General features: G+C 44.3%; 1 protein-coding gene and 1 long non-coding RNA gene across 3 annotated transcripts, besides 1 other annotated feature; one reads left to right on the top strand and one right to left on the bottom strand.

Annotated features, from left to right (window-relative positions):
• On the top strand, positions 73-9,155 carry TMEM269-DT (TMEM269 divergent transcript). Its single transcript, NR_133055.2, has 4 exons — positions 73-285; positions 846-966; positions 8,144-8,304; positions 8,799-9,155. It is a non-coding gene; the product is annotated as a TMEM269 divergent transcript (long non-coding RNA).
• On the bottom strand, positions 5,477-17,719 carry C1orf50 (chromosome 1 open reading frame 50). 2 transcript variants are annotated; one of them, NM_024097.4, is made up of 5 exons: positions 17,578-17,719; positions 17,344-17,459; positions 11,319-11,405; positions 10,100-10,231; positions 5,477-9,759 (listed from the first exon to the last, which is right to left on the bottom strand). In NM_024097.4, exons 1-5 carry the CDS (start codon positions 17,654-17,656, stop codon positions 9,574-9,576), a joined length of 600 nt encoding a protein of 199 aa, NP_077002.2. In that variant the 5' UTR covers positions 17,657-17,719; the 3' UTR covers positions 5,477-9,573. The 2 variants fall into 2 exon arrangements, 1 of the variants encoding a protein (NP_077002.2); NR_040733.2 differs by lacking the exon at positions 17,344-17,459.
• Positions 17,432-17,571: a silencer, noted in NCBI's record as "silent region_768". NCBI's record gives its function as "represses an Ori minimal core promoter by ATAC-STARR-seq in GM12878 lymphoblastoid cells {active_cell/tissue: GM12878}" and the evidence as "EXISTENCE:reporter gene assay evidence [ECO:0000049][PMID:35858748]".

Raw genomic sequence — 17,729 nt, 5'->3', positions numbered from 1 at the left:
ACCCTAGCTCTTAGCTCACAATCCTCAGAGCAGGGGAGGGGTTGCGGGTCTGTAGTCGGGGAGAAGGGCCTCAGTTTCCAGGGGAGCCCAGGTCTTGTAGTGGGGGCGGTGGGGAATGGAGGAGTCCCAGGGAAGGGGACGTCTCCTCTACCTGGGCCAGGCTGGGAAGGCTTCATGGTGGAGACGGCGGGCCCAGGCGCGTGGGCCCGGAGTGGGGCGGGAAATGCGCTGGGGAGGCGAGGCTGTGCCGGGATGCTGGGCCCAGCCTCTCCTGGGCCCCTAGAGGTAAGCTCCACGCGGGCAGGGCTGCTTGTACGTTTGCTTCGCTACTGTTCGCTGTGCCTATAGGAAGGGCATAGGCACATAGGAATACTATTTGGATGAATGACAAGCTAAGGAATTTGGATTCAATTCCTGAAGAAAAGTTTTTCAGTAGGAAGGTGACATGGTCAGGTTGTTTCAGGAAGACTAACCTGGCAGGCATTGTGGAGGAAGGATCTGCAATCCCGCAGGGCAGGAGGCAGGTGAGCAACAGATGGGATGGGAAGAAGGAGCCCCCTCAGGAGCCCATGTGAGATGGACTCCCACGGGTGAGAGCAGCGAGAGGGAGGGGATAAGAGCATCTCAGAGGTGACTATCTTTGGCAGCTGGGCTGACAAAGTGCTACAGAAAGAAACTTTTTGGTATTGGGTAAGGATTTCAGGCATGGGTTCTCAGATAGTGCCCCATCCTCACCAGTCCACCGGAAGCGACACTGGAGCAGGGATCACTGTGAGGACCCCACAGGAGAATATAAAAGGGCAAGGGAGCTAGAAGGTCAAGTGACACTTTGCCTCTCCTTGCAGCCAGCCCGGGAAAGAGGAGTTTAAGACCAAGCATGTTCTGAGAACACCACACAGCAAGTACTGGGCTACATGTTGTACAGACATTCTCATCATGTCACTGGAACTTCTCAGCTAACCTGAGGTTAGTGTTAGCATTCCCATCCTACAGAAGAGGAAGTAGGGGATCAGACAGCTGATTCTACTGAAGAACACACCATTAATAATTAGTGGAGCTGAGACCTGAAAACAGTGATACCAAAGTCAGACCTAGGGTGTGTGAGAAACCGGGCGGAGGCAACAAAAGGTTTGCTACACGCCCCAGCCTGAGTCAGGCCAGCTTCCTTTGACCATCCACGTGTTTCTCTTCATTGCTCCCTGCCATGTGGCCCATTAAAGTGGCAAATTAGCCAGGCATGGTAGCTCACACCTGTAATCCCAGCACTTTGGGAGGCCAAGGCAGGCAGATCACGAGGTCAGGAGATCAAGACCATCCTAGCCAACATGGTGAAACCCTGTCTCTACTAAAAATACAAAAAAAAAATTGGCCGGGTGTGGCAGTGCGTGCCTGTAGATCCAGCTACTCGGGAGGCTGAGGCAGGAGAATGCTTGAACCTGGGAGGCGGAGGCTGCAGTGAGCCGAGATTGCACCACTGCACTCCAGCCTGGGTGACAAAGCTAGACTCCATCTCAGAAAAAAAAAAAAAAAAGAGTGGCAAGTTAAAAATTGTAGCGTAATGATTATACCAGCTTACCTTTAAACCAAGTTTACATTCCAGCGTTAACACTTACCAGATGTATAAACATGAACAAGTTACTTTTTCTGAACCTGTTTCCTAATCTGTAAAATGGGATTGTTGTCAGAATTAAATGAGATTATATGCTTGACAGAGAGTAGAAGCTCAATTATTAGCATTATTAATCTAAGGATATGATCATACATCTATTAACCTGGACATCCCCAAAGTTTCCTTCAGGAGAGGGGAAGGAAGCAGGGTAGCTGAGAAAGATACCCCCCTAACAGAAGTTTCTAGCTTCCCTCATTCTGGATCTCACAGGAAGTACAGAACAGGAACAGTAAGTTAGGCTACTTACACTTGTGCTAATATGGTAGCCAGCAGCCACATGTGGCTACTGAGCACTTGAAAGGTGGCTAGTCTGAATTGAGACGTGCTGTAAGTATAAAGTACATACCAAAGTTTGAATGCTTAGTTTAAAAAAGAATGTAAAATAATTTCTTTTAGTAATTTGTTGAAATGCTAATAGTTTGGATATGTTGGGTTAGATAAAATGTATGTATGTATTTATTTTTTTGAGACAGGGTCTCACTCTGTCACCCATGCTGGAATGCAGTGACATGATCATGGCTCAAAGCAGCCTGGACCTCCCGGGCTCAAGCAATCCTCCTACCTCAGCCTCCCAAGTAGCTGGGACCACAGGCACATGCCACCATGCCTGGCTAATGTTTGTATTTTTTGTAGAGATGAGATCTCCCTATGTTGGCCAGGTTGGTCTTGAACTCTTAGGCTCAAGCGATCCTCCTGCCTCAGAGTCCCAAAGTGCTGAGATTATAGGCATGAGCCACTGCACCTGGTGATAAAATGTATTCTTAAAGTTAATTTCACTTTTTACTTTTTGATGTAGCTACTGGAAAAATTTAGATCACACATGTGGCTCACATTATATTTCTATTAACTGCATTGACTTGGATCCTTCACAGGATATAGGTGCAGAGCTGCAGATGTCCATCCATTGATTTATTCTTTTTTTCTTTCTTTTTTTTTTTTTTTTTTTTGAAGTGGAGTCTCACTCTGTCGCCCAGGCTGCAGTGCAGTGGCACAATCTCGGCTCACTGCAACCTCCGCCTCCCAGGTTCAAGCAATTCTCAGGCCTCAGCCCCCTGAGTAGCTGGGATTACAGGTGCCCGCCACCACACTCAACTGATTTTTATATTTTTAGTAGAGATGGGGGTTTCACCCTGGTGGCCAGGCTGGTCTTGAACTCCTGACCTCAAGTGATCTGCCTGCCTTGGCCTCCCAAAGTGCTGGGATTACAGGCATAAGCTACCATGCCTGGCCCACTTATTCATTATTAAGAGTGTTTATCATGCGCCAGGCACTATTTTAGATGCTCGAGACAGCAGTAAACAAGACAAAGACAGTCTCTGTCCTCACAGAACTTATAATCAGAGAACTTATAAACAGAAGCAAAACATAAATCATTTCTGGTTGTGCTAAATGCTGTGGAAAACAAAGCAGAATCAGAACCACTTTAATGTGAGAAGGGTTGGTATTTCTGATAGGGTAATCAGGGAAGTGGTATTTCAGCAGGGACCTAAAGGATGAGAAGACACAAACCTGCAAAGACCCTGGAGGCAATGCTCCAAGCAGATGAGACAGCAAATGTAAATGAGCGGCAATGAGCTTGGTGTGTGGGAAGAACAGCAAGGTCAGCAAAGCAGGAACATGCTGAGTCCTGAGAGTGGCAGATCACATAGAATCTAGGGAAGAAATGAGAAATTCTGGGATTTTTTTTTTTAACAGAAGTGTTGTGATCTGGCTTGTAGTTTGTTTGTTTGTTTTGAGACGGAGTCTCGCTCTGTGGCCCAGGCTGGAGTGCAGTGGCACGATCTCTGCTCACTGTAAGCTCCGCCTCCCGGGTTCACGCCATTCTCCTCCCTCAGCCTCCCGAGTAGCTGGGACTACAGGCACCCGCCACCACGCCCAGCTAATTTTCTGTATTTTTAGTAGAGACGGGGTTTCACCGTGTTAGCCAGGATGGTCTCGATCTCCTGACCTCGTGATCCGCCCGCTTCACCCTCCCAAAGTGCTGGGATTACAGGCATGAGCCACCGTGCCTGGCCTTGTAGTTTTAAAAGATGCTGCTGACAGCCTCTGTGGAAGCAGGGAGGCAAGTTAGGAGATCACTGCATTGTCCAGGCTGAACATGTTGGTGGCTTGGACTAAGGGGGAAAGGGGTGAGGTGAAGAGAAGCAGTCACATTTGGGATACATTTTGAAGGCAGAGCTGGGACTTGCTGACTGGTATGGGGAGAACAAGAGAAATCAAGAATGACTTAGGTCATTCTTGTTGTGGCTGCCACAACAGTGTGAGACAGGTGCTGATGGAAAGAGAGAGGCCTGGTGGTGAAACAGGTTTTGGGGATGAACTCAAGAGTTTAGATTTGGACACGTTAAATTTGTAATGACTACAAGTCAAGTAGAGATATCAAATAAGGCTGTTGGACAAACAAGTGTGCATGAAACTTGGGGACTGATGAGGGCTGGAGATATGTATGCGAGTCAGCAGCGCGTGGACAGCATTTAAAGCCTGGGGAATGGATTAGACCACTTAGCAGAGATAAAGAGGAGGGGGCCATAGACTTGGCCTCAGAATGTAGATGTCAGGAAGAGGAGGAGCAGGACACAGAAAAGGTACAGTCAGTGAAGTAGAGAAAAGCAGTAGATGATAATATTACAAATCAAAATGAAGAAAAAAGCTTTCAAGTACAGACTGCTCCACTGAATCAAATGCTGTTTAAGACTACAGAAATGAAATTTTTCCAGGCACATTGTAGCTCCTTCCTCCCAAGCTCCAGCTCCTTAAAGGAACAAATGAACCCTATCTTCTGATGGGGGTTCTATATCCAGGCTTTAATGCCAGAGATATGAGCTCAATTGTTTATAGGTTGTATGACCTTAAATAAGTTACTTCTCTATACCTTGATATACATCCTCTACATACCTATCACTAAATGCTCAAGTGAACTACTCCAATAGTATCTCATATAAACATCTTATTCTGCTTGAGGCCAGGAATTTGGGACTAGCCTGGGCAACATGGTGAGTCTTCATCTCTACAAAAAAAAAAATGTTTAATTAGCTGGACATGTTGGTGTATATCTGTAGTCCTGGCTACTTGGGAGGCTAAGGCAGGAGGATCGCTTGAGCCCAGGAGTTCAAGGCTGCAGTGGGCTATGACTGAGCTACTGCTCTCCAGCCTGAGTAACACAGTGAGACTGTCTCAAAAAAACAAACAAACAAAAAAAAACTTACTTTATCACTTTTGTGATTTAACTTCTTTATAGCTCTATACTGAGATCTTTTACGACTGTCTTAATTGGCCCAAACAGGATTAAGGTTATGGTCAGACTCAAACAGGACTGTGTCTGAATCTGACCTCTACCACTTCCCATCTGTATAACCACGGGCCAGTTTCAGAATCTCTGAGATGTTCCTGCTGTGTAACATAAGAATACTATATACCTCATTGATGGTGGGTTGTGTGAAGATTAAAAGAGATAATGGATACACTTAGCAGAATAAAGGCTCATAAGACAGTAGTTATCATCTTTGTATCTGTAACACTAATACTCTTCATGTTTGTGGACTGATAACTTGAGAAAGTAAGATACAAGCCAGCTCTCCTTTCCTCCTTCCAGAGCACTAGGGTAGAGAAAGGGAGCTACAGTCAGCTGTTACTCACACCCAGTAATTTGGTAAGGGCCAACAAGGTAGATTATCAATATCACAGAGTATCACTGATTATTCTGGAAAATAACAGGGATATCCTCCTCCTCCTGAAAATTTTGTTGAGGGGATCCCCACTATTCAATGCAGACACTCAAGCCAGAAATTCAAGCATCATCTAAGAGTCTTTCCTCTAATCCCTCTGACATTTTATTAACAAGATGGCAATCGATTGTACTTTCAATGTGCCATGCTTCATCAAATGTAAGATGCTATGTTATGATTCTTTTTTTTTTTTTTTTGAGATGGAGTCTTGCTCTGTTGCCCAAGTTGGAGTGCAGTGGTGCAATCTCGGCTCACTGCAAGCTTCGCCTCCCAGGTTCACGACATTCTCCTGCCTCAGCCTCCCGAGTAGCTGGGATTACAGGCGCCCGCCACCACGCCCGGCTAATTTTTTGTATTTTTAGTAGAGACAGGATTTCACTATGTTAGCCAGAATGGTCTCAATCTCCTGACCTCGTGATCCGCCCGCCTCAGCCGCCCAAAGTGCTGGGATTACAGGCGTGAGCCACTGCGCCCAGCTTGTTATGATTCTTTTATGTAGCTCTAAGAAAGAAAAAATGCCACTTAAACTGTGACATGCCATTGACTTTTAGAAGTGTCCAAGTTTGACAGACACCAAAATGTGGGGGGGGGGGGGGGGGAAGTACACCTTGTAATTGGTGAAATACAGGCCCTCTCATTCTACTACTGCTTAATTCAGACTCCCATCATCCCTTGCCTTGATTAGGGATGGAATCTCCTGTCTTCCCTCTACCCAAACTCTGCTGCCAATATTACCAGCCTCCCCAAATCCTTCCATTAGTTCTTCTCTCATATTCCCCAGTCCATATTCTCCTGTTTAACTGGCTGCGATTCCCCAAATGTCGTGTCAATTCTGGTCAATGTCCCTTCCATGTTATTTTTTGTCTGGAATGTTTTTTCCTCCCTGTCTTCAACTATCTCCTAGCTTTTAAACACAAGGATTTTCTAGCCAGGACATATCTCACTCCACCCCTCCTCATTGCCAGGACTGCTTTGGTTGATATGGCTTAAATGGTTGTCACTTTCTTCATTCACAAATAAACTCCATCCAAAAATGAACCCTACCCCAACCCCCAAAAGACAAACTTCCTATGAAAGGGCAATTGGAGCCTCCAGAAAGTTCTAACTTGTATGGTTTTCAACACCAAGCAGGCATCAGCTCCTCCAAGTGTCTTCCCAAATTCTCCAAGCTCAGTAAGGAACCCCTCCCCGGAGCTCCATAGTATTCCATGCGTACCTCTATCACACCCCTTCTTAGAGCATCTTGTAATTGTTAACTTGTTTCCTTCCCTACTATACTGTGAGCTCCCTGGAAATTGTGATTTCTTATTCAGCTCCATTATTCACCAGAACCTGGAACCTAGAAGGCACTTAACACTAATGAAATTATCAGGTGAACAGATGGATGGGTAAATGAAAAGTGATTACTGTATATAATCACTGGGTCCTAGTTTCCCATTCTGAGGTGCCCCAAATCACCTCACATTGCCACTAGCCCTTCCCAAGTGTGGTAACTGGCTTAACCAGGAAAGAGCAATGACACCCCTTGGTGGTCAGTGCAGGGAGTACATCTTACTGAACAGAAGGCAGTTTCTCTCTTTTCAATCACTACTCTCCCACTCTTTAGGTTAGGAAATGTCAAGAGTGAGGGAGATTTGGCATTTTCAAATGATCAAGCTGATGACTGCATGCAGAATGGATTGGAGAGGGGACAGAGGGGGAAGCAGGGATGCCAGCTGGGAGGCTGTCTTGTCAGAGTTGACAGTCAAGTGCAGATCTGTGACTTTGACATCATCACACTTAACCACTTAGTAATATTGCCTTTTTTACCTAGAATTTTCCTTTCTTCTTCTCAACTGAGCACTGTGGCAGATAGATTCTAGGATCTGTTCAATGATTCAATGATGTCTGCCTTCTGGTATACATGCCTTTGTATAACTCCCTCCCTTGAATATGGGCTAGCCTAGTGACTTGCTTCCAACCAAAAGATTACGGCAAAGGTGATGAAATGTCACTTCTGTGATCAGACTACATGAGACTGTAACTTCCATCTGGCTAGCAGACTCTAATCCTTGTTTACTTTGCTTAAGAAAGCTGCCATGTTATAGAGGCTCGTGTGGCAAGGAAGTGAGGGCAACCTCCAGCCAACAGTCAGCTAGTGGAACCCCGGAAGCCAGCAACCCTTGTGGAATTGAAATTCTGCCAACAGGCCAGGTATGGTGGCTCAAACGCCAGCACTGTGGGAGGCTGAGGCAGGTGGATCATGAGGTCAAGAGATAGAGACCCTCCTGGCCAACATGGTGAAACCCTGTCTCTACTAAAAATAAAAAAATTAGCTGGGCATGGTGGCGTGCGCCTGTAATCTCAGCTACTGAGGAGGCTGAGGCAGGAGAATCACTTGAACCAGGAGGCGGAGGTTGCGGTAAGCTGAGATTGAGCCACTGTACTCAGGCCTGGCAATACAGCGAGACTCTGTCTCAAAAAAAAAGAAAGGAAAGAAAAGAAATTCTGCTAACAATTTAAGTGAGCTTGGAAGCAGATCCTTCCCCACTCAGGCCTTCAGATAAGAACAGCCCTGACCAATAACTTGATTTCAGCCTTCCAGGGTTTCAGAGAAACTGTGAAGCAGAGGACTCAATGAAATGGTGCCTGAACTCCTAACCTGTAAGCTCTGAAATAAATAGGTGTTGCTTTAAACCATTAAGTTTGCAGTAATTTGTTTATCTGTAACTAATAAAGCACCTATTCAAAATGTGTCATCATCATGCAGGTCAGAACCTTCTGAAAACCTGGGAAACTTTCTGTAGTCAGAATCCACTACTCTACCACTAATGTCTCTTCCATCCGGCTCTGCAGCACCTGAGCAAAAGACCTCTGCAGCTGAGTCCAAAGAGCATTCCCATGTGAACCGAGCAACCAAGTATCATCGGAGTGAGTTTGTTAGATTCTAGCCCCATCCTGTGCTAGGCCTTAGGTAGACCTCTTACAGCTCACAAGAAATGCAGTTTATGAGGAAAGACCATGAATCGGGGGGCGGCCCGGGGAGGGTATTACCAAACAGATCAGCATCAGGAACATCATTCCCAGAGAGAAATTTGGCCAATTGTCAGTTCAAGTACACATCTCTCCCTCCTTTTACAGCATATTGCAATAGATTATAGCCATGCGAAATAATCCATAAACTTAGCTAATTCCACCAAACAGATAGGAAAGAAGGTAGAGTCCTACAAGAGCCTAGTCAGAATAAGAACTACAGTAATTTTGCCAAAACCCTGTTAAGTTCTTGAATAATTCTGGTCAAAATGGATTTCAATCTGAGTTAACTCACAGTCAACAATTTGGCTGTTTTTCTTGCTTCTCACTCTACTGCCTTACTCTCTTCCACAGTGTTAAGTAGCCATTTAAATGGGTTTGTTCTGCTGCAGGTGGCTGAGCCTGGGATTTCCAACTTGGGAGACTACACAGTGGACTCTATAATGATTAGTGGCAGCATCCAATGTCTCTTCCAAGTCTAAAATTTGTGAGTTTCAAAGTTGACTCTCCCCAAACCTGGCCTTTGCTGCCTCAGATTCTGTCACTCTAGCAAGGCAGAGAGAGCAAAAGGGGCAAGACAAACCTCATCAACAGCACAGAAATCCCAGAATCACACACTCTCTGGTCCAGCCAAGCCAAGTGTTTTTTTTTTTGTTGTTGTTGTTGTTTTTTAAATCACCCTCCATTACTCAACATTCTCGTTCCCAGATGAATTTTAAACTGGAGTTGCACCAACTGTGAGACAGCCTCAACCCCAATGTTAAATACTACCAGTTATATATATATATATATATATATAAAAGACTGAAAACAGTTCTCTCTGGAAAACGATCCACCAACCTTTTTATGGGAAGAAGGTCTTCTCTAACACTTTAACTTAAGGGAAGAAGTGATGGAGAGGAAGAAGGAAAGTACACTGGCCAATACTCTGAAACTGACTGACTTGGGTATCTGTGGTCCAAAGAGGATCCCGAAAGACAGTGACTCTGTCTCAATGATTATTCCCATCCCAATTAAAAGTCATAATGACAGCATTTACATTCACACAGGGTCTCTTTCCAAGAAGTTTGTGAGTCACCTACATGTCTTCAATTCTCAAGGCAACAGTGGGGGCAACAAGGAGGTTGACAGCCAGGTCCTGTGAGAGCTGTTTGTCAAAGCCCACTCTCAGTGAGTCAGTCCCTGGAAGTTGGGTTCAGTGCACGGAGGCAGGGCCACTGACTGGCTTAGCAACGTGTCCATCATGCTGATTTTAGCATCTTGCTTCTCAATGTCCTCATACGGAGTCCAGGACAAGTCATGCTGTAGTTTGTAGGCACCAAGGAAGTCATGTGGACAACTTGTCCCCCATTCCTAGAGAAGGCAAAGGAGGCAGTTCCCATCAGCGTGGGTTGTAAACAAACTGAGCTCATTTCCTAATCATGCCACAATCTCTTTTTTGGCTTTTCACTTCATACTAGTCAGAACAACCTTTGGAACGCAGTTACCTTACACATCAGATCCCTCCCTTAATGAAGAAAATGAGTGAAATAATTTAAGCACAGGTATATTTTTTAGAGTCATGTCTGGGCTCACATCACCCCCAATTTTCTAAGAAACCATATACCAATCCACATGTCTACATTTTCACACATATACCAAGAATTTCTCAGAGGCTGGAGTAGATTTTTGGGCAAACAATGTATGTTCTTACCTTTGGAGAAATGATGGAAAAATACTGCTGACCACTCTCCCGTTTATAGAGATAGTAAATGTTGCCAGGTTTTTTCACTATATTACAAGCTACATGGTGCAGGTTGGCATCTCTGTGAGCATCTTCCAGTACCTATGAATCACAGATATGTAACAAATTAGGTATTGGAGATAACAGGCACCCACATTTGGTGATCATCCCAATTAAAATTTGGAAACCATTCAGTGCTTAGGATCTTGCTCCCCCATAGCAATGAATCACTTCTGAGATCCAGATTATTCTGAAGAAACAAAAATTAGACTATGCTGCTATGCTGTAAAAATGCCTTTAGAAAAATTATATTTCAAGCCAGGCACAGTGATTCATGCCTGTAATCCTAGCACTTTGGAAGGCCATGGCAGGTGGATCACTTGAGTTCAGGAGACCAGCTTGGGCAACATGGCAAAACCCTGTCTCTACTAAAAATACAAAAAATTAGCCAGGTGTGGTGGCATATGCCTGTACTCCCAACTACTTGGGAGGCTGAGGCTAGAGGATCACTTGAGCCCAGGGGGCAGAGGTTGCAGTGAGCTGAGACTACACCACTGCAGTCCAGCCTGTGTGATACAGTGATACCCTATCTCAAAAAAAAAGATATTTCAAAATGTTGAGCATTAATGACCCTGGGTAATTTTTAAGCTTCTTTCCTATTTTTCTGTGCTAAGTACATTTCTTTTATAAATGAAAACATAATCCCCTGTTAAATGCTTTACCTCATGAAACCTTCTCCTGGAAAAAACAAAACAAGGGAGGCTGAGGCAGGCAGATCACCTGAGGTCAGGAGTTCAAGACAGGCCTGGCCAACATGGCAAAACCCCATCTCTACTAAAAATACAAAAGTTAGCAGGGTGTGGTGGCGGGCACCTGTAATCCCAGCTACTTGGGAGGCTGAGACAGGAGAATCGCTTGAACCCGGGAGGCAGAGGCTGCAGTGAGCTGAGACCATGCCACTGCACTCCAGCCTGGGCAACAAGAGCAAACCTCTGTCTCAAAAACAAACAAACAGACAAACAAAAACTTATACTTAACCTCTTAAGCTTATTCCTTCTATTTTACTCAACACCTCTACATTTCTAGGAGGTATTAAAGACATAAAAAGTCACAACGATTATAAACAAGTTCAGCCAATCCTGAGAACTAAATAAAGAAAATGAAAGCCTGTCTAACAGTCATTCCTTACCTTCCTGGCTTGTTCTTGCAAATGTTGGATTTGCTCAGCTATGACTGTCAGCTTGTTGGTGGCATTTGCTCGGATGAATTCATCAGCCTACAGGTGAGAAAAAACTAAACTGTGGGTTGAAAGAGGAAAAGACTTCTATGATGTTCTTATCTTGATCCCAGGGTTATGTTAATATTTTGCTTCTGCCTAAAATATTTTTCCCATTCTTGCCACTGCCCCATAGCCTCCCACTCATCCGAGGCCCCACTCAGATAGCACTGTCATGAGAAGGCCACCCTGACATGACTCCACGCCACAGAGTTAAGTGCTCTCTTCTATTTCCCATAGCTTTCCACCCCTTCGCTATGAACTGCAGTTACACTGAACTTCTTTGGTTCTCCAGCATGCCTTCTCTCTTTCTCTCTCCTGCTACCAAATATACTGAATATATCCTCTCCTCCAACCAATCCATTTTTCCTCCTGCTCTTTACCTAACAAACACCACACATTTCTCAGGTCTCCATTTTCTCATGTTTAAACACTTGTGAAATCAGGGATGGATTTTAAATAATTAAAAGACACTTGTGATCTGGCCCTTATCATCTGCTAAGGTAGAAATCTAGATACACATAGAAAGTATTCGGGTTTTTCTGTGTGACCCCCACACCCCCTGAACTGAGAAAGTATGCGTTAATCTGACCATTTCCTCAGTTATTTACATCACAACTACTTAAATGTTAACTTATATGTGCATTTCTAATTATTACTTAAAATGTATTTTAAAAGACTGCATTATGATGTGGACCTGAAACAGAGTTATAATGTACACACAAGACTACCTGTCACGTGCCACAAAGTGCAACTGAAGGCAATGGACATTTTTTTTTTTTCAGACAGTTTTCGTTCTTATTGTCCAGGCTGCAGTGCAATGGCGCAATCTTGGCTCACTGCAACTTCTGCCTCCTGGAGTCAAGTAATTCTCTAATGTCAGCCTCCTGAGTAGCTGGGATTACAGGTGCCCGCCACCATGCCCAGCTAATTTTTGTATTTTTAGTAGAGGCAGGGTTTCACCATGTTGTCCAGGCTGGTCTCGAACTTCTGACCTCAGGTGATCCGCCCACCTCGGCCTCCCAAAGGTCTAAGATGACAGGTGTGAGCCACTGAGCCCAGCCAGGACATTTCTTAAAATAGATCAAATTCTCAAAGCTAGGAGAGACTAATGTGACAAATTCATGTGCTGGGAAGGATTACCACTCAGGCAATAGAATTCTGTCAAAAACTTCCACCTTACTTTTAAGAAAAGCTGATTATACACAATTAAGGTAAAGAAATGAGGAGATTAAACTAGAACCTGAACTAAGAAATATTAAAGAGAATTTGCTGGTTAGTTGAGGAGTCTTAAGGCAAAGTTCAGGTATAAACCAGTGTTATGAGTGAACAGAAACCACACAAGTAAACTGAGTCATTTATCTGTCCCACAGATGTATATTAGGCAGCTACTATGTGTCAGACACCACACTAGGCACTGGGTGTACTGGCAAACAGGAAAGAGAAGTCCCTGCCTTTGTCAAGATCGCAAGTCAAGTCTAATACCGTTCAACAGAAATATGAGGCAAGTTGCATATAAAATTTTAAATTTTCTGGTAGCCACGTTAATAGTAAATTAATTCTAACAATACTTTTTTTTTTTTTTTTTGAGGCAGAGTCTCGCTCTGTCACGGAGGCTGGAATGCAGTGGTGCAGAGGCTCACTGCAACCTCCGCCTCCCGGGTTCAAGCAAATCTCGCACCTCAGCCTCCTGAGTAGCTAGGACCACAGGCATGCGTCACCATGCCCCGCTAATTTTTGTATTTTTAGTAGAGATGGGGTTTTGCCATGTTTGCCAGGCTGGCCTCGAACTCCTGGCCTCAAGTGATACGCCTGCCTCAGCCTCCCAAAGTACTGGGATTACAGGCATGAGCCACCGTGCTCAGCTAATACATTTTACTTAACCTAATATATCAAAAACATTTTCATTTTAACATGTAATCACTATTTGTAAGTTGTTAATGAAATATTTTGCATTTTTTGTTTGTTTTTGTTTCTTTTTTTGGTCCTTCTCAGTCTAATCCATATTTTGCATTTGATATTAAGCCTTCAAAATATAGTGTTTATTTTGTACTCACAGCACATCTCAATTTGGATGCTAAATTTTCATCAGAAATACTTCATCTGTATTTAAACTTAATAAAATTTATATGTGAAAAAGTTGATTCACATACTCAAATTGTTCCAATATACTTGAGTTCCAATAATTGAAGTAATTATCAGGTTTTTTAAATTCAAATTAATTAAAATCAAATAAAATACAAAATTCGGTTCCTCAGCCACACTAACAACGTAACACAAGTGCTTAACAGACATAATGTTGCTAGTGGCTACCTAAAGCACAGCTCCAGTGAGTAATAGATACCAAAAAGTAAAGATGATTAAAGCTAATATTATATGTACTCATAACAATGCACTGTTATGAAGGAAATAACCACAATTATGTCGTAGAAGCAGGTTAAAGATAACAAATGAGTTAAGTAAAAAAGCTACTTCATTTTTATGAAGTTTAATAATAGGGAGTGGTGGGGAATTGGAAAGTATATGTAGCCTAGAGGTATTTGAATTCAATTTAATAATACTGTCATTTGGATGGGGTAGGGTACGGTCTTCTTCAGACAAGAAGGCCTCACCAAGGATATAACATTTGACTTGGGTCTAAATGAAAGGAGAGGACCGACCATGAAAAAAGCTGGAAAAAAAAAAGTTTGCAGGCATTTGAGGCCAGTGCAGCTGAAGAGTAGTTAGTGATGGGCAATGTGTAGAACAGGGTTTAAAAAGAGAGCAGAGACCAGATTGTGCAGTCTTGTAGCCCATGGTAAAAGAATTTGCATTTTGTTCCAAGAATGAAAGCCCAGGTGTGGTGGCTCACACCTGTAATCCCAGCACTTTGGGAGGCCGTAGCGGATGGATCACCTGAGGTCGGGCGTTTGAGACCAGCCTGACCAACATGGAGAAACCCTGTCTCTACTAAAAATACAAAATTAGCCAGGCATGGCGGCACATGTCTATAATCCCAGCTACTTGGGAGGCTGAGGCAGGAGAATTGCTTGAACTCGGTAGGCAGAGGTTGCTGTGAGCCAAGATGGCGCCATTGCACTCCAGCCTGGGCAACAAGAGCGAAACTCCATCTCAAAAAAAAAAAAAAGAAAGAAAGAAAGGAGGAGCCATATATGGCCAAGGAGAGAGTAGGTATTTCTAGAGCTAAGGTAGTTCCAGATTAGGGGTGGCCTTATAATAACCCTCCCTTTTCTTAAGGTGTTAGCAATAAATCTCATAAACAAAATTTGAATTTATATTTTGAAGAGTTAATATAAAATGCAAAATATGGATTAGTCTGAGGTCCAAAAAAAGGAAAAAAGAAACAAACAAAAAAAATGCAAAATATTTCACGAACAACTTAAAAACAAAAGAGCCTCATAAAAAAGAAAGGAAGGGAAGAGTACCTACAACTACTAAGCACTAACCCTGGCCTCAACTACTCTGAGGCCCTTTACATTCATCTCATTTACTTCTCACAACACCTTTATGACGCTGGAGATGATAACCTCACTTTCTCATTTTAGCAATTAAGACTCACAGACATGAGGCAACCTGTCCAAGGTTTCACAGATAATAAACAGCAAAGGATCTGAACACAGGTCAGATTCCAAAATTCATGCCTTAATACCAGGCCTCCTGAGCTTTCTGAACACACACCAATACCTGGGTCAGTCTTGCTAAAAAAGTACTTTTTTTTTTGAGACGGAGTCTTACTTTGTCACCCAGGCTGGAGTGAAGTGGCACAATCTCCACTCACTGCAACATCTGCCTCCCAGGTTCAAGTGATTCTCCGGCCTCAGCCTCATGAGTAGCTGGAATTACGGGCGTCTGCCACCATGCCCGGCTAATTTTTTGTATTTTTAGTAGAGACAGGGTTTCACTATGTTGGCCAGGCTGGTCTTGAATTCCTGATCTCGTGATCCACCCGCCTTGGCCTCCCAAAGTGCTCGGATTACAAGCGTGAGCCACTGCACCCAGCCCACCACCATTTTTTTTTCTTTTTAGACTTGCTCTGTCACCCAGGCTGGAGTGCAGTGGTGTGATCTCAGCTCACTGCAACCTCTGCCTCCCAGGTTCAAGCAGTTCTCCCGCCTCAGCCTCCAGAGTAGCTTCGGACTACAGGCACACACCACCATGCCCGGCTAATTTTTTGTATTTTAGTAGAGACAGGGTTTCACATGTCGCCCAGGTTGGTCTCCAACTCCTGAGCTCAGGCAATCCTCCCGCCTTAGCCTCCCAAAGTGCTAAGATTACAGGCGTGAGCCACCACACCCAGCCTCATTTTTTTGTTTTTTTTTAAGAGTCTCACTCTGTCACCAATTCTGGAGTACAGTGGTGCGATCTCGGCTCACTGCAACCTCTGTCTCCTGGGCTCAAGCGATTCTCATGCCTCAGCCTCCCGAGTAGCTGAGACTACAGGCATGAGTCACCACACCTTTTAGTAGAGACGGGGTTTCACCATGTTGGCCAGACTGGTCTCGAACTCCTGACTTCAAATGATCCACCCACCTTGGCCTCCCAAAGTGCTGGGATTACAAGTGTGAGCCACGGCACCTGGCCAAAAAGTACATTTTAGATAGTTAATATGTTTGATTCAATTTGTTTGTCTCTAAAGTTTTTTTTTTCTTCAGCTTCTCAAATACAGATTGTATTGGGGAAACAGAGGCAGCATAATAATGCATCCTCTGTATTTCATAAGATTATAGGATGAAAGACAAAAACTGTGTTCTTTCTTCCATCTGTTCAGGCCATCGTAATAAACACGATAGTCATTCAATAGCACATGAATACGTTGTGTGCACAAGATTCTGTCCCTGCCAACCTCCCTCCCAATAAGAGTAATCTGATTAACTAGATGCATATTCTCTTAATAAATAAAAGTTGCACTTTGCTCCCCAGCTCTTCAAAAAGAAGAAAGCCAAGTTTTGAATTAAAGGAGCTTTCTGCGTATCTGAATTTTTCTTAATTTTAAAAAAAAAAGGATTCGAAGGATTTCTAGGATCATTGAAAAAAAAAGAGATGTGAGGGAATTTGAGCACATTAAATAATTTTGGGCAAAGCAAAGACCCTGGAACATAATCAAGGCCAAATCTGATAGTGTATACAGGGATAAGGGGCCATGATAATCTTTAAAACAGCAGGACCCTCCATCTGTGGACACTGAAGAGGGTGTACAACTGGAAGTCTTGATAAGAGATAAGAAGGAATCTGGTTTTTCATTGAATAATGACAAAACTTTAGATCTTGGAGCTCTACTACTTCAAACCTTTCACTTCACAGATAAAATAGTTGAGGTCCAGAGAGAAGTAATCTGCCTTAAGTCGCACTGCAAGTTAGTATCAAAAGTGGGATTAATACTCATGTGTCCAAACTTCCAGTGTTTTTTCCATTATTTCACATTTCCTCCTTATTTGACTTATTTTGGCCATCCATATATAAACACTGGGCTTGGGAATACTGTGTTTAATGAGGACTAAACTTGGAGTCCTTGCCCTGCTAGAAGATGTTTAAACTCTCAGGTAACAAAGATCTTATGGGAAGCAGCTTAAAATAAGCGGACCTTGAAACTTCCCGAAGAACTTTTCTTTGTGTCAAATGGGAAGAATAACTCTGTACTGCCTACCTCACAAGGCTGTCCTAAGGTGCAAATGAAATAATGAACACTAAAGTGTTGTGTAAACCTTCCCACGAAGGAAGATTATGGGCACTCAAGTTGCAGTTAGAGGAACCTTTGGTCCCAGAAGGTCATTCGAATCAGGCCACCGACTCACAATGACAGTCGGCTTTACTCGTCTGTAAAATGGAGACAAGAGCAAATGCCACCCCCACCATAGGTGGTAGTGAGGTCTGAGCCGAAAGACGCAGAGTACAACGTGAACGAAGATGGTTATTCGCTGCCCCGGCCGCGCCTCCTCACCTTCTGCACCTGCTCTGCGAGCGCCACGAGGTCTAAGGGGTCCCCGGCCCGGTGGGTGTGGTAGGGGCTCACCAGGGCCAGGCCGCCGGGGGTCGGGGTGAGCTCCACCAGGGCTCCTGCGACACACACCCAGGAACACAAGCCGTGAGCTCCCGCCGTCGGCCTCCCGCGGAGCCCCGAGACCGGCTGCCTCGCGGGAGCTGACTTCCCCCTGCTGACTCCCGCCCCGCATACCTCCCTGGCCTGCAGCTGGCGGCGCTCCTTGCCTTTCAAGGACCCCCTCGGTCCGCCCCGGCGCGGCGGCGTCCTCCATGACAGCGCCTTATCCTCCCCACTCCCTGGGCTGTGCGAGTAGGAAGAGCCTGCGCATAAAGGCGCGTGGGCGG

This window comes from Homo sapiens, chromosome 1, assembly GCF_000001405.40.
Source record: "Homo sapiens chromosome 1, GRCh38.p14 Primary Assembly".
Classification (NCBI taxonomy): Eukaryota; Metazoa; Chordata; class Mammalia; order Primates; family Hominidae; genus Homo; species Homo sapiens.
The sequence above is the reverse complement of the archived record's forward strand: the minus strand, read 5'-3'. Positions and strand labels throughout refer to the sequence as shown.